At 38.2% G+C, this 20,132-nt stretch overlaps 1 long non-coding RNA gene across 1 annotated transcript in view, besides 1 other annotated feature; it reads left to right on the top strand.

Moving 5' to 3' along the window:
* Positions 1 to 6,799, top strand: part of LOC105373900 (uncharacterized) — a 54,688-nt gene extending 47,889 nt beyond the window's left edge. Inside the window, exons 2-3 of the long non-coding RNA XR_923944.3 lie at positions 4,705 to 4,849; positions 6,415 to 6,799. This is a non-coding gene — a long non-coding RNA (uncharacterized LOC105373900). The remainder of the gene's footprint in view (positions 1 to 4,704; positions 4,850 to 6,414) is intronic.
* Positions 15,622 to 16,821: an enhancer, noted in NCBI's record as "CDK7 strongly-dependent group 2 enhancer chr2:222760870-222762069 (GRCh37/hg19 assembly coordinates)". NCBI's record gives its function as "activates an origin of replication core promoter dependent on BRD2, BRD4, P300/CBP, MED14 and CDK7 cofactors, with strong dependence on CDK7, by STARR-seq in HCT116 cells {active_cell/tissue: HCT116}" and the evidence as "EXISTENCE:reporter gene assay evidence [ECO:0000049][PMID:35650434]".

Raw genomic sequence — 20,132 nt, 5'->3', positions numbered from 1 at the left:
ATTCAAGTAAATGTCAGTTTTTTCCAATTAAAATGATTACCTTTCAAAATTTACTCTCTAAATTATTTAAAAATCTACTAAGACTAGAAGGGCAAAAGTTAGTAATAACATAAAAATCTAAAAAAATTATGTTAAAATGAACTTTAAAATTTTACTTAAAAATCATTCTCTTTTGTAAAAACATACTATGTACAATTTCAAATATGTAAAAGTAAACGAAATAGTATAATGACCCCCACATACCAGTTATCTGGCTTCAATAATTGATCAGCTCATGGCCAATCTTATTTTGTCTGCTCCCAGCCCACCATTATTTTGAAGCAAATCCCATCTATCATATAATTTGATCTGCAAATATGTCACTATATGTCTCTAAATGGTAGATTTTTAACATAATCATACTATCATTAATACATCTAAAACATGTCAATAATTTTTCTAGAGACTAGGTCTGACTCTGTCGCCCAGGCTGGAGTGCAATGGTGCAATCAAAGCACATTAAAGCTGTGAACTCCTGGGCTCAAGCAATCCTCTTGCCTCAGCCTCCCCAGTAACTAGGACTACAGGTGTGCACCACAACACCTGGCTAATTTGTTTATGTTTTATGATTCATTTATTTATTTGAGACAGAGTCTCACTCTGTCATCCAGGTTGGAGTGCAGTGGCTCTATCTCAGCTCACTGCAACCTCCAGCTCCCAGGAGGTGAAGGCCTAAATCCTATTCCACAGGCAGGAAAACAAATGGAATGAGTTGTCCCAGCACCAGCAGCTAGACAGGAAGAATAGGGCTAATTTCTCCTTCCTCTGCTTTTTTTTCTATTCAGTCCCTGAACAGATTAAATGGTGCCCACACACACTGGGGAGGAGACTATTTTACTGAGTCTACCGATTCAAATGCTAATCTCATTCAGAAACACCCTCACAGACACACCCAGAAACAATGTGTAATCTGGGCACCCTGTGACCTACTCAAATTGACACATACAATTAACCACCACAAAGTCCCTTATTGCAATTTGTTGGATAATCTAAATCTCTTTTAATCTTTAGATTTTTCTCTTTGTCCTTCTCTCTATCTCTTGCTTTTCTTTGCAATTTGTTTGTTAAAGGAACCACATTGTTTGCCCTATAGAATTTTCTCCAGGCTGTTTTGTTTATTACATCCCTATTGTGTTATTTGACATTTTAAATATTTAATTAAACTTTATTTAATATCTTGCAAAATTGTAAGTATTTGCACTGTTAGCATTCAACATCAAATTAGTTGCCAATATCAAGAATTGGTGTGTGTGTATGCATACATATTTAAGAGTAAAATAAATTGCTTAATATTGCAGAATTTTCCTCAGCCACTGTGTGTAACTTTTGCATTTACCGGGTGAATTCACTAGTATTTCCCAGAACCGCAATTGGAACCTGAAGAGAAGCAACAAAAGAGATGCGTGACCCTATTGGGAAACTATACTTTGTTATGCAAGAAGCTATTGTATTCATGCTGAGAGGAAGATTTCACAAGTTATTTGGTTTGTCTTTTACTTAAACTCCATCTCCATACCCCAAGTCCTCCTTGCATTCTGGGGCATTTTGTGTTTCTGATGCCAGGAGCAGCATAACACACAAAGCTTTACAACCTTCTGGTCCGTATGTGTCCCCCAGAAATTTGTATGTTGAAATAATAACCCTCAAGGTGATTGTATTGTGGAGTGGGACTTTAGGGAGGTGGTTAGGTCATGAAGGTAGAACCTTTGATGGGATCAGTGACTTACGAAAGAGGCTTTAGAGAGTTTATTCACCCTTTCCACCATATGAAATTACAGTGAGAAGACAGCCATCTATGAGGAAGCAGACACTCACCAGACACCAAATCTTGGGGCCAGCATCTTGCTCTTGGGCTTCCCAGCCTCCAGAACTGTGAAAAATAAATTTTTGTTAATTATAAGCCACCTACTTTATAGTATGTTTTTTATAGCAGCCCAAATGGACTAAGACAAGGACATCAGGTAACGAATGGCAGAAGCATTTCCCTGGCACCTGAATGACACTGGCCATGCAAGCAGATATTAGGACTTATAGATTGTGTGCTGCTAGTACTCAGTGTTGGATTCCAAATAGACGGGCCTGTGTATGCCCATTTTGTGTGTATGTGTGGATGTGGATGTGTGTATTTGTGATATTTGATACCCATTAATGTGCAGGACCCAAGGCAGGGGCTTTCCTCCGTGACTGGGTCTAGTAGTTCTGTCTCCTGGGGTGGGACAGTGTTTTACAAGCCTCAGTCATTTGAGTTACTACCTTCATGATTTTTACCATTGCTCCATATCACTTGTTCTGTTACCTACTCTATTAGTTTTCTATTGCTGTATGACAAATTACTACAAACTTAGCTCAGCTTAGCTGGATTCTTTGCTCAGAGTCTCACAAAGCTGAAATCAAGGAGTCACAAGATGTCAGTGTCTCATCTGGAGGCAGTTGTTCTCTTCTAAGCTCATTTACGTTGTTGAAAGAATTCGGTTTTTTACAGTTGTAGGACTGAGGATTCTGCTTTCTTGCTAGCTGTCAACTGACAGCAAGTCCCCCTAATCTACTATGACATTGTTTTACATGACATAATTTAATCATGGCAGTGACTATTCCATTATATTCAGTTTCCTCCCATACTCAAGGGAGGACATTTATGTACCGGGGGTGGGTATCTTTGGGGCTATTTGAGAATTCTGCCTACCACATTTATATAACATGTTTCTTTAAATCAACTCACTTTTAAAGTTTAAATACATTTGTGAAAAGTATATATCATGGATTTGATGTGCTAAGAGTGTGTGTGTTTGTATTTGTATATGTCTTTTTCTTTTATTTATTTATTTATTTTTAGACAAAGTCTTGTTCTGTTGCCCTGGCTGGAGTGCAGTGGTGCCATCTTGACTCACTACAACCTCTGTCTCCCAGACTCAAGAGATTCTCATGCCTCAGCCCCCTGAGTAGCTAGGATTACAGGCAGGCACCACCATGCCCAGCTAATTTATTGTGTTTTTAGCAGAGACAAGGTTTTGCCATGTTGGCCAGGCTGGTCTCAAACTCCTGGCCTCAAGTGATGTGCTCGCCTCGGACTCCCAAAGTTCTGGGATTAGAGGATTGAGCCACCGTGCTTGGCCATGTCTTTTTCTTTATGGACACACACAGTAAAATAAATATATAACCAATAAGATAAAAAGTATTTATCAGCATATCTCCTAAAATTATCTTGCCTCCCCAGGGCTCATGTACCACACTGGGAAACAATGTTCCTGGGAATAACATTTAAAACTATTTGTTGAATGCCTGGTGATTAAAATAGCTATAGATTAAAGAGCTTTGTTTTCATTGAAATCAAATAGTTTATATTTCTATGACTACATTAATTTTATTTCTCTCCAAAATTATACAAATTGTATATGAGCATTCATCGAAGCAAGTCATTTTCTTAACTGTGGAAAAGACTGTGACTTGGAGGTAACCTGGTGCCCATAAATACATGGAAGCTTCTGTCTTTTATGACTTTGAGATCAAAATGAAAGAGTCTGGTAAGCCAGATATTTCCTTACGTGTTTTCAGTATTTACTGTAGTGTCATTTATTTCAAAAAGGCATAAACCAGTTAAGTTCCACATTATCATAAAGAGGCAAAGATAAGACAGAAACATCCATTTATTTTTCCGAAGAGAAAGTAAAACTTTAGTGATGATAGGTGTATCTCTGAGGAATTGACTAGTCTCTTTCTTATATAATCTCTGTGGCCCTGAGACACTTCTGATCACAAGAAATCTATTGGTCTGATCGTTTTCATGCTCCAGCTCCTAGTCCTGGCCTGAAAGCCTTTGGATTCACATAAAATCAACAGATAAACTTGTTTGGAAAGAAGCCACATCTCTCTGTTTGGACAGCTCTGTAGATTTACTGTGGCTCACTTATCTGATTGCTGATTGGAGAACCTCTGATTTTTAAATGTTTGCCTGGTTTTGTCCCATGATAAACCAGATGATGACTACTGGAGGAAAAAAATCCTCCATCTCAAACTGACCTGTTACATTCTCTTTGGCTTTGAACATTTTTCCACCCAGACATAAGTCCTCTTGGCCACGTAGTCCCACCGTCCTACCAACTGGAGGTTCACCCTTGATTTAAGCCAGTAACTGCCTGTACGTTCAACAGAGATGATAGGAAGGAGGCCAGTGTCTCAGGCCTAAGGCATCTGAAGCTGTATTGGAGAGTTATCGTCCCTCTGGTGGTCTGTTTCCTCCCAGCTGGTATAGTAATCCTTCCAATCCATAACAATCTCCACATTTTCTCAACTGGTAGACTGCATATTGCCTAAAATACTCCTTTCAGGGATACTGGCCTTTCTTTGTTAATTAATTCTAGTAATCACTCCTTATTATTGCATATGCATTTTGAGTTTTTGAATAAAGTGACCATTTCTTGCATTTTTTTCTAGCTTCTTTCAATGTCCAGAACAAACAGATTATGAAATATTTGTTGAGTGAATAATTGCTCAGTTTCCTCAGTAGCCAGTAGATAGTTATGGTTGAGAGGTAGGGAAGGCTCATGGCACAGTACAATCTTTGGCTCAGGAATGTTACCAAATACTCAGCACCCTTTGTACCAAGAGGTACTTAGCACCAAGCACCCTACTGTTTTCCACACTGTGCTAGCTTTGCTCTTACCTCAGGCTGGATTCCCGTGGGGTTCCAAGATGACTACAGCAGTTCCAGTCATCATTCTCAGATATCAGAAAGCCAAGAGGAGAAAAGACCATTATTCATTATGTGCCTCCCAGCAGACATCCCCTGTCTTGTTGACCTGCATTTCATCAGGTACCCATGTCTAAAGCAAACCTTGGAGAGGGGAATAATGCTATTAATGTCATGGCTTAAATTAATTAGGCAACATGCCTAGAGCTGAGATGGGGGGACAGTCTCTTGACTTCTTCAGGGAAGGGGTTGATTGGATTCCTGATAAAGGAAGTGGGAAAATACCAAAAGCTTCTTCTACTGCCATTTCATTAAATGAGAAAAGTTAAACAAAAAAGGAGGTAATTTGCTCAAGGAGGTCACAAGGCTGATCAGTGGGATCCAAATCTAGAATGCAAAATTGCCAGAATGAATCTTAAAGATCATTTGGTTCCTCCTCCTCAGTTCACAATTTGGGAACCTGTGGGCCAGAATGTTTTATCACTTGCTCAATATCATAGGTATCTAATTAGTAGCAGAGGCATGACAGAACTCAGTTCAGCTGCATCTCAGTCCTGTTCTCTTTCCATTACTACACTGCGGTTCCATTCGTGTGAATTTCTATCTACCCTATGTGTAATTATGCAAATGAAACCTGCTAAAGCACTGCCTAGCACATAGCAGGTTCTAATATTTATTTGTCGATTGAATAAGTGTTCCAATTAGTTCCAAGATGCTTCCTGTAACTGCAGTTCTGTGGTCTATACATTTTCCCAGTTCTCTCCCCATTCTGTTATCATTTTGAGACTTTACATAGATACGGACTAGGCAAAGGAAAAAGGAAACAGCATGTCCTGTGTGGGGAAGCACTTTATAAAGATGATATTTAAGTAATACAGACATTAATTATTATGCAATGGAGAATGCAAATTCAATGAAAGGGAGCAGGATAATGGTAGTTTTTCCTAGGTTTTCACTTATGTCAGCCTGGAAAAAGTTGAGAAGTGCTGTATTAAGCTAATAGCCTGCACAAGCTTTTTCAGGATAAAGATATAATTAGCTATTAAACCATCAAAGAGTTGTTTATGAAAATAAATAAAACAGCAGCATGTCGCCTGTTTTCCATTAATATTGGAGGTTTAATCATCATAGAAATATTTTGGTAGAATTATTTGAATCTTCTACATCAAAATAAATGTATTTTATTCTCTTCTGATTTCATTACTGTCCATGAAGGCATTATTTTCTTGGCTTTTGTACGCTAGGTTTACTATGGCTTCTATTCCTGTTAATACCTTTATCTGGCTATATTAATTTTCTAAAGCCACTTGTTTTTGATTGAAGTGAGACATACATACATATATGTGTATATAAGGACATATAGTTTGTTATATAGCTCAATAAATTATTTAAAAAGTGAACATATGTGTAACTGCCACCCAGACTATTATGTTTAGATCACAGGAGCCCACCTAGTACCCTTCCCATTCAGTAGGCCCTGGTCAAAATTAATCACTATTCTGATGTCTAACTCCATAAATTAGTTTTTACTGTTTTTTGAACTCTGTATAAATGGAATCATGCAGTAAGCGCTCTTTCCTGCCTTGTTCCTTTGCTCATGATTATGGGTGTAAGATCTTTCCACATTGTTGTATGTTGTCACAGTTTTTCTATTTGTGTTGGTTTTATGGTGTTCCATTCCATGTCAGACAGAGAGATGCAAAGGTCAACCTGGAAGAGTGGGCTGACAGCCCCTAGCTACAGCGTTTTGGGATCCACTGAAGCAGCAGCAAGTTGTGGACATACTGTCTGTGGGCAGCATCCAGCCAATGACTGGGATACGAAGGTCTTGAGTATTTCTGCTCGATGTGGCACTCCTCCATGGACATATTTGCACTGGGGCTCCCCTTTGAACTGGCTGAGACGTTGTCAGAGCTACATCATCATCTGAGGCTCCTCTCTACCCAATCCTCCTTTCTTCCCCCTCTCTTTCACAAATGTCAGACCTGCTTTGCAGTTTGAAGCCTTACCCTGCCCTCTCCTGCCCCATTTATTTCACAGGCATTACTCTCAATAAATCTCTTGTACCCTTAACTCTTTCCATCATTTGCTTACCAGAGGATATGAAAAGATACACATTATGCAATTGTAACATAACTTCTTTATCTGTTCTCCTTTTTTTTTTTTTTTGAGACATTCTGTTCCCTAGGCTGGAGTGCAGTGGAGTGATCACGGCCCACTGCAGCTTTGACCTCCTGGGCTCAAGCTATTCTCCCAACTCAGCCTCCCAAGTAGCTGGGATTATAGGTGTGAGCCACCACACCTGGCTAAATATAAAAAAAATTTGTAAAGACGGAGTCTTCCTATGTTTCCCAGGTTGGTCTCAAACTCCTGGGCTCAAGGGATCCTCCTGCCTCAGGCTCTCAAAGTGTTGAGATTACAGGTGTGAGCCGTCATGCCCTGTTCTACTGTTGATGAGCACTTTATTTCCAGTCTTGGGGCACTCTGGAAAGTACTGCAATAAACATTCTTGTACATGTATGTAGGTGCACATTTGCATGCATATCAGTGTGAAATAATTGGTTACAGGTTATGTGTATGTCAGCTTTAGTAGATCTTGTCAGAGTTTAACTAAATGATTTTACCAGTCTACATTATCACCAATACGATATGAAATTTCCACTTGCTCCCTATACTTTCTTACACTTGGTGTTGTTGGTTTTAACATTTCTAGCCATTTAGTTTCTCTGAGGTCTAATAATATTGAACATGTTTTAATATGTTTATTGGTCATTTGTCTATTCTTTTATGTGAAATGTCTATTTATATGTGACTATTTTTCTATTTATCTGTCTATATTTTGCTTCTTGATTTGCGGGAGTTCTTTATGTATTCTGGCTATGAATCCAGAGTATCTTTCCCTACTCTGTATGATGCTTTAATACCCTCTTAATAATGATTTTGATATATAGATGTTCTTAATTTTAATATAGGATGATTTATCAATTATTATCTCCTTTTTTAGAGCTCTTTTGAATGTTTATTAAATCTTTGTTTTTTCCCAAAGGCCATAAAAATTGTTGTCAATATTTTCTTCCAGAAAATTTTATTGTTTTAGTTTTCACATTTTAGGTTTACAATCTACCTGCAGTTGGTTTTTGTTTCTAATGTATCTGAGGGATTATGATTTATTTAAAAAATATGTAGACATCCATTAAATTTAGCATTATTTATTAAGAAGACCATCCTTTCTACACTGCACTGCACTGTCAACTTTGTCATAAATCATGTGGTCTTTTCCTTTACTTTCTGCTTTGTTCCATTAATCTATTTGTATATCCTTGCCTTAATATGGTGCTCTTTTAATTACTTAGCTTTATGATAATTTTAGCTATCTAGTGATTAATTTTTCTATTTTTTTTCCTTTTAACCCATGATTGTCTTGGCTATTCTAGTATTTTCATACATATTTTATAATCAGACTATCAAGTTAGACAAACATACTGTTGGAATTTTTAACGAGATCGATTGAATCCATACATCAATGTGGAAAAACTGACATCTTACCATGTTACCATTGAGTTCTCCAATTCATGGGTATAGATGACCCTTCATTAATGTGGAGACTCTTTAAGTATCTCAATAATGTTTTGTGATTTCTATTTAGACTGTTTTCATAGGATATGTTTGATTTATTCCTATATAGGTATTTTTGATAGCATTATAAGTTTTATTTGTACGTTTTCATTTTCTAGTTACTTGCTTCTAGTGTACAGAAATGAACTTAATTTTGATGTTGATCTTGTATGCAACAAATTTACTAAAGATACATGAAGTTAATTAGATTCTTTATGATTTTTCTATGTATGTATTTATGTTATCTGCAAATAATAGACCTCTTACTGTTTTATTTCAGATCTTTATACTTCTTTTCTTTTTTTATTGCATTAGCGAAAACACTCATTACAATGTTGAATAAAAGTGACTGCAGGCATTCTTGTTTCCTTCTTGATCTTGGGAGTGACAAGGGGAGGGCTTAATGTTTTACCATAAGCTTTTGTTTTTTAGGTAAATATTCTTTTTTAGATTAAAAATTTGTACACTTGTCTAAAAGTTTTTTTTTACTATGAACTTATATTAAATTGTATGAAACACTTTTCTGCATCTATTGAGAGGCTTTCTTGTTTATCTTGCTAATATAGTGAATTGATTTTTTTTTAACGTTAACTTATCCTCCTCTTCTTTCTCTGGAATAAATCCCACTTACTAATGTTGTGTTATTCATATTATATTTTTGCTGTGTACAATTGATTAATATTTGCTTAAAATTGCTGTGTCCAAATTTGGATTTTTCTTTCTCATAATGTCCTTATCAGGTTTTTGTATTAAGGTTATTCCTACCTCATAGAATAAATTGTAAGATTTTTTATTTGTTTATTTTTTATTTATTTATTTATTTATTTATTTAGAGACAGACTCTCAGTTCTGTCACCCAGCCTGGAATGCAGTGGTATGATCTCTGCTCACTGCAACGTATGCCTCCTGGGTTCAAGCAATTCTTGTGTCTCAGCCTCCCAAGTAGCTGGGATTACAGGCATGCACCACCACACCTGGCTAATTTTTGTATTTTTAGTAGAGTTGAGGTTTCACCCATGTTGGCCAGGCTGGTCTCAAACTCCTGGTCTCAAGCAGTCTGCCTGCTTCGACCTCCCAAAGTTCTGGGATTACAGGTGTGAGCCACCATGCCCGGCCTTATTTGTTAATCTTTTTATATTCTCTGAAAGAGTTTGTTTAATATTTGTTCTTCAACTATGTAGAAGGTTTCACCAATGAAGCCATCAAGGCCTGTAATATACTTTATGTATAGAATTTACATTATAAAATAAGCTTCCTTAATTAATATGGGCTATTCAGATTTTTAATTTTTTTGTGTCAGTTTCATTAAGTAAACAAAAGTTTTCACTGCATATTTACACTTTGACATCTAAGATGTCAAATTTTTGGCATGAAGTGGGTAACAGTACTCTCTTTCTGTTTTTTTAATTCCTGCAGAAACTGTAGCGGTGTTCTCTTTTATGTCCTGGTGTTATTTGTGCCTTCTGTCTCTTTTTATTTTTTCTTGTTCTATATTGCTAGTGATTTATCAGTTTTATTAACAGTTTTGAAAGAAACCTCCTCTGTTTTGTTCTATTGTATGTTTGCTTTCTATTTTATTGACTTCTGCTCTTATCCTCCTTCCCTTTATTTACTTTGAGAATCTGTTATGTTCATGTTCTTTTCCTTGAGTGGGAACCTTAAATCATTGTTTTCACATACATATAAGTTTATTACATGTGAATATTTCATATATTGTGTATGCAGTATGTGTATGTATTTAAACTATCATTTTCTAAGAATTGCTTTTCCTTCACCTACAAATTTACATAGGTTGTGTATTCATTATTCATATTAAAATATTCTCTAGTTTACATTTGATTTCTTCTTTGGCCTGTTGGTTATTTAAAAGCATATTTTAAAATTTTCAAATAGTTTGGCAGTTCTTAAATTAGCTCTTTTATATTGTTTTCTACCTTAATGATATTGGGCTAACAATTTTTTTCCTTGCTGTATATGTATCCAGTACATTGAAATATGTTGAGACTTACTCTAAGTCCTCTAATATGGTCAGTTTGAGTAAATAATATATGTGCATTTGAAAATGTATATTCTACAGTTGTTCTTTGCAGTCAAATTCTTAAGTGAGCTGGCCAAATCTTTTATATGTCATAGCATTTTTATTTGTTAGTTCTCTCTTTTATCAGTTACTCTAAGAGTAACTTTTAGTTACTGAGTGAGGTATGTTTAAAACCTCCATTGTGGAAGACAGTATGGTGATTCCTCAAGGATCTAGAGCCAGAAATACAATTTGACCCAGCAATCCCATTACTGGGTATATACCCAAAGGAATATAAATTATTCTACAATGAAGACACATGTGCACGTATGTTTATTGCAGCACTATTTACTATATCAAAGACATGGAACCAGCCCAAATGCCCATCCCTGATAGGCTGGATAAAGAAAATGTAGTACATATACACGATGGAATACTATACAGCCATAAAAAGGAATGAGATTATGTCCTTTGCTGGGACATGGATGAAGCTGGAAGCCATCATCCTCAGCAAACTAACACAGGAACAGAAAACCAAACTCCGCTTGTTCTCACTCATAAGTGGGAGTCGTGGGAGTTGAACACTGAGAACACATGGACACAGAGAGGGGAACAACACATACCAGTACCTGTTGGGGGGTGGGGGTGAGGGGAGGAAACTTAGAGGATGGGTCAATAGGTGCAGCAAACCACCATGGCACACGTATACCTAGGTAACAAACCTGCACGTTCTGCACATGTATCCCGTTTTTTTAGGAAGAAATAAAAAATAAAAAAAAATTGAAAAAAAAACACTGGAAAAAAAACTCCAAAAAACAAACAAAACCCCTCCAACTATAACTGTGGATTTGCCTGTTTTCTTTATAATTCTATTAATTTGGGACTTTGGAAATATTCTTTGTTTTTAGTTTCAGCAGGTTTACTACAATACACCTAGTTGTAGTTTCCTTTGTATTTAACCTATTTGGGGTTTGTAGAGATTCGTGAGTCTGTAGTGTGATGACTTATCAGTTTTAAAATATTTTTGGTCAATATTTCTAAATACTGATTACACCCATTTTCTCTTTTCTCTTCTCTTGGGACTCCAACTACATGTGTGCTAGACGTTTTCTCCTCGGTCTGTATGTCTCTTACATTCTTTTTGGTGTTTTCCATCAAATCTTTTTCTCTATGTTTCGATCTAGATATTTTGTACTGAACTATCTCCCAGTTTACGAATTCTCTCCTCTGTTGTGTTTAATCTGCTATTAATAATAGCCCATTTACTGAGTTATTAATTTCATTAAAAATGTAATCTAATTAAAATTTCAGCTTTATTAATTTATTATTGACAATAAAATTATATATATTTATGGTATATGATATAATGCTTTGATATATGTCTACATTGTGCAATGATTATATCAAGCTAATGAACATACCCATCGTAGTTTCAGTTGTATATTTTAGTTCTAGGCTTCACATTTAATTTTTAAAGGCTTGGACAATTTATATTTTTGTAGAGAGTATTTAATTAATTGGTTAATTAATTGATTGTATTTCTTGCAGGAAGTTGGTTTATTTTCAGTTTTTCCTGAGTCCTTGGGTGCTGATATTCAGGAATTTCAATGATAAACCTGGAGTGTTAACCAGGGCCCCTTGTCCTTGGCAGGCCCTGAATGCCAATTTTTGTCTCCTCAGCTCTGTAGGAGAGCTGAAAACTCTACTTAACATTTAGTCTCTTAGTAGCTACGTTTGGCTTCGTTTATTAGCCTCTTGCTTCACAAATCTTGGGATTTATCAAATGCTGAAAGGGCAGTAGCTGCACACTGTGTTAGCCCACCTTCCCTGAGACTGTCTTTCTTTTCTGCCTCTGCTGCCTAACTCTTAGTTACCTTGGTTGTTTATTCAAAGCCTGAAATAGCTGCTGTATGATTTTATTTTGTTTTTTTATCATATGCAGCTTTTACGGTTTTCTTAAAGAGAAGTTTTATATGATAGAAGCTAGTTCTCCAGTTCTCCATCCATATGATCTTTATGGAACCAATACATAATTGTTTTTATTTGAATTGAGTATTTTATTAACACATAAAGTCTACAAAGTTGTTCAGAGGGAAAAAAAAAAAACTTTACTGTGGTGAATGCATCCTTTTTCCCCAGGTGGAGAACATCTACTCATTCATTTATTCATGTACTCATTCCACAGCAAATATTTATTAAGCATCCTTAATATGTTTACATGAAATATGAAATATGCTAGACTCTGAGGATATAGAAATAAATTTAGCTATGCTTATTGAATTTGAGGAGTATACAGCCTAGTAGATTGCATGAGTGGAGAGATTAGAAAGTAGGAAGATAACAGGTTTTACACTCAGATGAACCAGGGTTATTTATTAGTTGTGACCTTGAACAAGTTATTCAGATATTTCTGAGCTTTACTGGTGAAAATATTGAGTGCTATAAAGATTAAACACAAAGTATGTAACATGCCTTTCGCTGTGCCTGCAACATAATAAGAAATAAATAATTTATATTTCTTGTTAGTCTAGGTGGAGAGACTTATAAAGTGCAAAGTCCCTGGGACTCTTTGTGAAAGATAAAGAAAGATTTTACAGTGATTAAAATATAGAAGGGATATAGTAGATCACCAACTAAAGTAGTTGGTAAAGTAGGAGTAGTGTGTGTGAGTGAGTGTGTGTGTGTGTGTGTGCACGTGTGTGTGTGTGTGAAAGAAAGAAAGAGGCATGGGAGTGAATTTAGGAGTTAGGAAGAAGTCACTGATATCAAGGGAACTATACATGCATCTCTTTCTTTTATATCACAAATTGAGCAGTTTTATGAGTCTGGCACAATTTCATGAGGATGCAATGGTGAATAAGATAGATATGTTAGACTGACCTACTTTTAGAAAGCTTACTGATGGTGAAAGATACAGACAAGTAGGCAATTACAAACAGGATTGTGCTGTACATCTTCTTGAATAACAACTCATCCATTAGTTATTACACTTTTCTCTAAAGTGGGCCCTCCATTAGATGCCTAATTTAACTGAAGCCGGTAAGATTATGGCAGAAATTTGGGAATGTCATTCGAGAACATTTCATTTTCCACATATGGCTAGATCTGTGGCCTGCCATGTTTTTCCATATGGCTAGGGAAGCAGAGAAAGCTAGCCCACAGACTGGCAGGAAGGAAGTAGATATGCAGAAGTTAGCAAAAATGTGAGGGAGAGAGAATCCTATCAACTTTCAATTCCTGGTTCTAGTTCTTTCCTAAGGCCCGATGTCAATCCTGCCCCTTGCACTATGTAAGATAACACCATACTGGTATATTTTGCTTACATTCCCTCAAGCTGACTTTCGTATCTTGCAACCAAAGAGTCTCAGCTAATAAGTTGATGATGAATACTAAGATGGGGAAGGTATACTTTGGCAGAGTATCACATATGAAGGTCATATTATGCCACTTAATTGGTAGGACAGGGAAGAATCTTGGAGGAGTGAGGTCTAAGCTGAGATTGGAAGGATGAGCAGGAATTACCCAGGTAAGGGGAAGAAATACGATTCTCTGAGTAGAGGGGAAGACATATGTGACCTGGAGAGGAGAATGGGTGAGGAGAGTCACTGCACAAGTTCTGTCTATTGTGGTAGAGTGTTGAGAGGCTGCAAAGGAGGGAGTAGGAAGATATCAAGTCAGAGAGGTAAATGGCTTCAGATCATCTAGGGCTTAGTTTATAGGGATGAGTTTGATGTGGATCCTCAGCTCCTCATAATTCCATGAAGAGAAACTTCCCTAGAGTCACAGTCCAGGCATACTCCATCCCTTATTCACTTCTCCATGGGGACAATTGAGGTATCTGGTGGGTGAGTGGTAACGATTGTTCCACATATCTCAATCAGCTGGAGCTTCAGGTTAAGTTCTGGCATTTGGTCTCATTCTTTCCCTCTCTGCCTTCCTTTTTAACTCGCTCTTTAGAGAATATAGAATGATGTGCCAATAGAATGATGGGTAACCATTTCTAAAATGGCTGATCAAAGGAGATTTAAATACTCTTACCATGGAGTGGGAAATCCAAATGACAAACTGGTTAGGACTTTAATAAAGGATTCTATAAGGCCCATGAAGACACGTAGTATTGATTTATTCTAGACACTGCTAGGTAAAATCTGAGAAGTGAGTTAAAAGTTAGCAGTAAAACACTTGGGTTTATTTAAGTAAAATATTCTCTCTGGTGTTTTTTACCCTGTTTATAAACAACTTGAGTTATTTGGAGAAATGTGTTAAATAATTATGCAGTTACTAAATACTTCATTTTTATAATTGACACTTCTCTTAGGTTGGTATTAAAGAGTGTGACTTTTATTTTAGTAATTTTGCATGTGGGAAAAGCAGACTTGTGTGGTACATTGCTATTTCTCCTAGGCTCTATAGCGATACTCCTGGAACAGAATTGCAATGCCAGTGAGTGTTGGAGACTGTTTCCCCATTTCTTCCTTCTTTTCTAAAAAGAGGGGTCATATTTATCCATCAATTACAGACCTTTCCCTTTATACTGCTTAATCAGAGGCAGGATAAGACTGGATCTGGTGTATTTCCTTTCTGTCCTATCTTAGAACTCTGCATATTTGACTAGACTCACACTCAGACGATCCATCAGTCATTCCAGATGGCTTTATTGCTTGTCCCAGGGTAATACCAGTTTATCTAGAGCAGCCACGTTCTCTCCAATCAACATCTAATGTCAAGTGACAGCTAGCCTGAGAAGGATTTGGAGGATGATAAATCAAACGGAAAAATCAATGAAGTCAGAGAATAAGGAATCTATGTAATAATCATACAGGCTCATGGGAATGGTAAGAGATATATTCAGAGTATCCCAACCATGTGAGACTAGAAGCCTATGGAACCTGTGCATTTTGGGGTGGTGGTGGTGGTGGTGAACTGTGCATTTGGCAGGGGGTGAGATCTGGTTGCCTTTAATGCTGGGATTACAGGTGCGTGTCACTTTTTAAAGTACTCTCTAATAAATGCTGGGTTAAGTATTTTTCCTGGTTTATCTTATTTAATATAAGCAAACTTATGAGCTAGATGCTACCATTGGCTCCAGTCATTGATGGTCCCACAGAATAAAAAATAATGGAGGAAGACTTGTGACCACTGCTCTGTGTGATTTCATGTTCCATGACCTTAACCATGATGATGCACTACCCTGTCCCTATGGGATGACTACTTTAATATGCCTTTTTCCTTTAGTAGCTTGACTTTACCCCACCTATCTGTTGATTTGGGCTAGATGAACATTGTTTACCTTGCAACTTTCTCAAATTCCAGCCTGGTTACGCTTGATAATAATACCTTCTTATTTCCTAGTATTCTCATGATCTGGATACCAGCCCTGCCTATGTAACGTCAGGTATGAACGAACGTGGTTCGGCATCAATTCCCAGAGAGCAAGCCAGCAGAGCGCCTCAGCGTTGCTCTCTGTGCTCCCTGCTCGGCTGTGACTCCTGACACTTTTCTTGCTTAAGAAAACAGCGTTAACATTATCCACATTTGCTTTTGGCTTTCGCTACCAAGCAGCCTGGCACCAACCCCCAGCCACACCACAGCAGACTCTCTGCCGGACTGTTCCTAACGTCAGCTCTTTCTGCCCCTTGTGACTTCTTCCCACTCCCACACCAGGGTGGGGCTTTAGCACTGTAACAGACTGGAGGCCCTTTGGAAGGGCCCAGTAGTGAGAGGAGTGAAGAGCAGCTGCAAGGAATGCGTGAACTATCAGTCCTTCGTCCCTTCCTCTAGTTACATTTCAACATCTTGGCTGAAATGAAATTTGAAATGCAAAAGGTTTAAAGAACATTTCTCAAACCCACAATTTCCCAGCAGCTTGAAAACCTCTTAAAACATTACCTTCAATCTGCTGCTGGTGATGAGTGGATGTTGAGTACTTATGTGAACGATGTCATGCTGCTTAGTCATGAGATGCCTTCCACATCTCCCGGGCTCACCCACAAGCGAGCATTCAAACCAGTGAGGCTCCCTTTGGTTTCTGGGAAGAACAATCCAACTCTGAGAAAGCTGATACCTATGGTGTCTCTGCTGAGGAATAATTCCCTAAATGCATAAAGGATGCTCATCTAAATAAGGAAATGGAGACTTAGATTAGAGGGTGCAAGAATAAAGAGAGGATTTATCCTGCAAACAAAAGGAAGGAGAACTCTTTCCACTCTCCCTCCTTTGGGGTAGGCTTTGAGGTTGATATCTTAGTTGTGACCTATCTTTGGCAACATCGTCATTCTTATTTAGGGTGAATGAGGCTCCTGTGAGGGCTTCAGTGGGAGTCCCGTTGTCAATTCTGCATTAAAGAAGCATTAAAATAAAGTGTTACTGTAAGAAGCTCTGTCTGCTAGACAGTTCTCAGAAGAGCTTTGTGCCTCTTCTGAGAGCTGCTTGCTTTTTCTTTCCATTTTCAGGAGGGGAAAAAAATGTTCCTAATGAACCAAACCTTTTTAATTGATTATAAAAACAGAGGAGAACATAGCAGTGGGAATTGTTGGCAAGGCTTTATAGCATGTGGCGAATCACTGCATATTCATTTGTCTCTCATTGGCCAAGATGAATCCTCTTTTGGTATTAAAGCAAATGTGCTGTGAAGTTGCAGAGGACAGGGTTTAACAACTTTTCCTGGCTTGAGGCCTGGGTAATTTTTTTTTGGTGGAGTGGTAGGAGGGCCAGGAAGCGGCGGGGGCAAGGAGCCGAGTGGGGAGCAGTGAAGTGGGGGAGTGTTTTAGGGAAGGCAAGGAGCTGCGTAGCACTGAGATAGTCTCTGAAGTAGCTGAGAAGAATGGCTTCCTTCGTGTAGGTGGGAGGTGGGAGAGCTGCATTACAATGTGGAAACTGCAGGAATAGTCTGACTGCAGAGTGGCCATACTTGGCATAGAACACAATTACCTTGAAAGTCCAGGAAATGGGGCTGAAATGAATTCTTTTATGACAGAAGAGAGGACATAGTTCATCTGACTTCAGCTTCTTTTCACTGTGTCTCGAGGAGTGGGAAGGGAACATGGCTATGTCGTATGTAAACTAAGAGAGCGGGTTCTGCTTTCTCATCCTCCATTCCTGCTCCCTGACTCAGGCTCTTATAACCACTCATCTTCCTTCTCTTCTATCATTGTGTTCCTCACATCCCCTGCACCATGTCTGCCTTCTTCTCCAGTCCACTTGGACTCAGGTTATTCAGTTTGTTTAAAGAGTCAGTTTCTTCCCGCCTCAGGACCTTAGCACATGCTATTCCTTTCACCTGAGTGCCCTTCTCCAACCCCCTGCTTCTCTCCACATGGGCCTGGCTGACTCTACTCATCCTTCAAGCCACAACTGAACAGTATCTCATCAAGGAAGCCTTTTGGGAACACCCTGACCAGCATGGGCCCCCCTGTTAGGGATTCTTTACACAAGGTACTTTTCTTTTGTAGCAAGTATTGCAACTGTGATTACATAATTGCTTGCGGTAATCAGCATGATATGAATGTTTCTGGCAGATCTTTAGGAGATATTAATAAAAAATTGACAAATTGTTTGTTTTCATTTATACCTTTCATCATGAAATATTTACAACATTTTTAGAGATAACGGTGATTTCAATAATTGTGATTGTTGACACAGCAGCATAGAGTACTCCCTGCCTGATTCCAGAAAGGATTAGAAAAGTTTATCAATCAGATGTTTGTCCTTGTGAGAGATTCAGAAGCTCATAGAGTTCTACAAACTCTTTCCTAAATTGCATCAAGTTCCAAATAGATGATGCGTGTTTAACAGTGCATATGGTAAACATTTTAAGAAATATTTCAAAAGGCTTAAATGAGCATGTGCTTAAACTCTTCACTAATTCTTATTTTGTCACTTGTTACTTCTGAATCAGCAGGCAAATTTCCCCCAGTCACTGAAAGTTTGTTCTTTGGATGGAGTGACCAAAGAAAAATCATGACCAGTTGAACCTCAGGGACATGTATGATAAACACTATGTTCAGAGGAAAAACTTTTATCTGAATAGTCTAAGACTGGCAGTTGGTTAATCACGTCTTTTAAAGCAGTAGATTGGGAGGGGAGAGGGTGGATAAAACATACATTTAAATGTTTTATTTTAAGTCAGAACATAAATATACATCTATTTTTCAATCTTATGATGTAGACCTAGTCCTTTACTTTCTTTTTCTCTTCTTTTTTTTTGAAATGGAGCCTCGCCCTGTCACCCAGGGTGGAGTGCAGTGGTGTGATCTCAGCTCACTGCAACTTCTGCCGTCTGGGTTCAAGCAATTCTCGGGCCTCAGCCTCCCGAGTAGCTGGGATTACAGGTACACACCACCACCACCACGCCTGGCTAATTTTTTTATTTTTAGTAGAGATGGGGTTCCATCATATTGGCCAGTCTGGTCTCAAACTCCTGACCTCAAGTGATAGGCCCACCTCAGCCTCCCAAAGTGCTGGGATTATAGGCGTGAGCCACCACGCCCAGCCCCATTCCCTTACTTTCTGTTTGATGTTCACTGACTAAAGTCTTCCATCATCTTTCTTGTATCTATCACACTCAAAATGCAGTATCTACAGTTTCCAGTTTTTTAAAAGAGAACTAAAAGACATTTGAGTGTCACTTTGAAGGCAGAATCCTTTCTAGTTTGTATTTGTCTCCTGAGTCTTTTACAGTTGCTTCGCCCACATTGAGTTTAATGGCCTCTTTTAGTCGCTTGTCTTGATTGCGTCTTTCTGTAGCATTCATATAGTTTTCATGGAAACAACTCTTTTCACACTCATATATAATTTGCGTAACATGTATCTAAACTATTTAATTACAATAAATTATACAACTGGCATTGACGGGCTTGGGAGTAAACACAACTGAGTCTTGGAAAGCAGGGAAGAGGAACAGGAGTGGGGGTCTTGGCAGAGTGCTCAGTGGCTGTGAGCATCCGTCAGGAAGTTTACAGAATGAAGGCGGAGTGTCGTTTAATCTCTCAAACTGTTAAGTAGCAGTTAAAAGAATTTCTTCTATGTCTAAATGTGTTTAATATTTGATTAACGTGAATCTCCTTTGCCAGATAGAAAGTTCCAAGGAGCCAAGGACAGTTCCTATGTATAGGAGGTGTATTAGCCTGTTCTGACACTGCTATAAAGAACTACCTGAGACTGGGTAATTAATGAAGAAAAGAGGTTTAATTGACTCACAGTTCCACAGGCTGTACAGGAAGCATGACTTGGAGGGCTCAGGAAACTTACAATCATGGCAGAAGAAAAAGGGGAAGCAAGCGCCTTCTTCCCATGGTGGCAGGAGAGAGGGAGAAGAGGGTAGTGCCACACACTTTTAGATCATCAGATCTCATGAAAACTCACTCACTGTCCTGAGAACAGCAAGGGGTGAACTGACCCCATGATCCAATCACACCCCACCAGTACCCTCCTCCAATTTGCATGAGATTTGGCAGCAACACAAATCCAAACCATATCAGGAAGTGCCCAGTAATCACTTGTTGAGTGAATGAATGGTCTCCTAAGTGCAAAGTTCACTCTCCACTTGTGCTTTTGCTGAACGTTTTCTTTTTTTTTTTTTTTAATTGATCATTCTTGGGTGTTTCTCGCAGAGGGGGATTTGGCAGGGTCACAGGACAATAGCGGAGGGAAGGTCAGCAGATAAACAAGTGAACAAAGGTCTCTGGTTTTCCTAGGCAGAGGACCCTGCGGCCTTCCGCAGTGTTTGTGTCCCTGGGTACTTGAGATTAGGGAGTGGTGATGACTCTTAAGGAG

This window comes from Homo sapiens, chromosome 2, assembly GCF_000001405.40.
Source record: "Homo sapiens chromosome 2, GRCh38.p14 Primary Assembly".
Lineage (NCBI taxonomy): Eukaryota > Metazoa > Chordata > Mammalia > Primates > Hominidae > Homo > Homo sapiens.
This window is presented reverse-complemented; position numbering and strand designations above follow the sequence as displayed.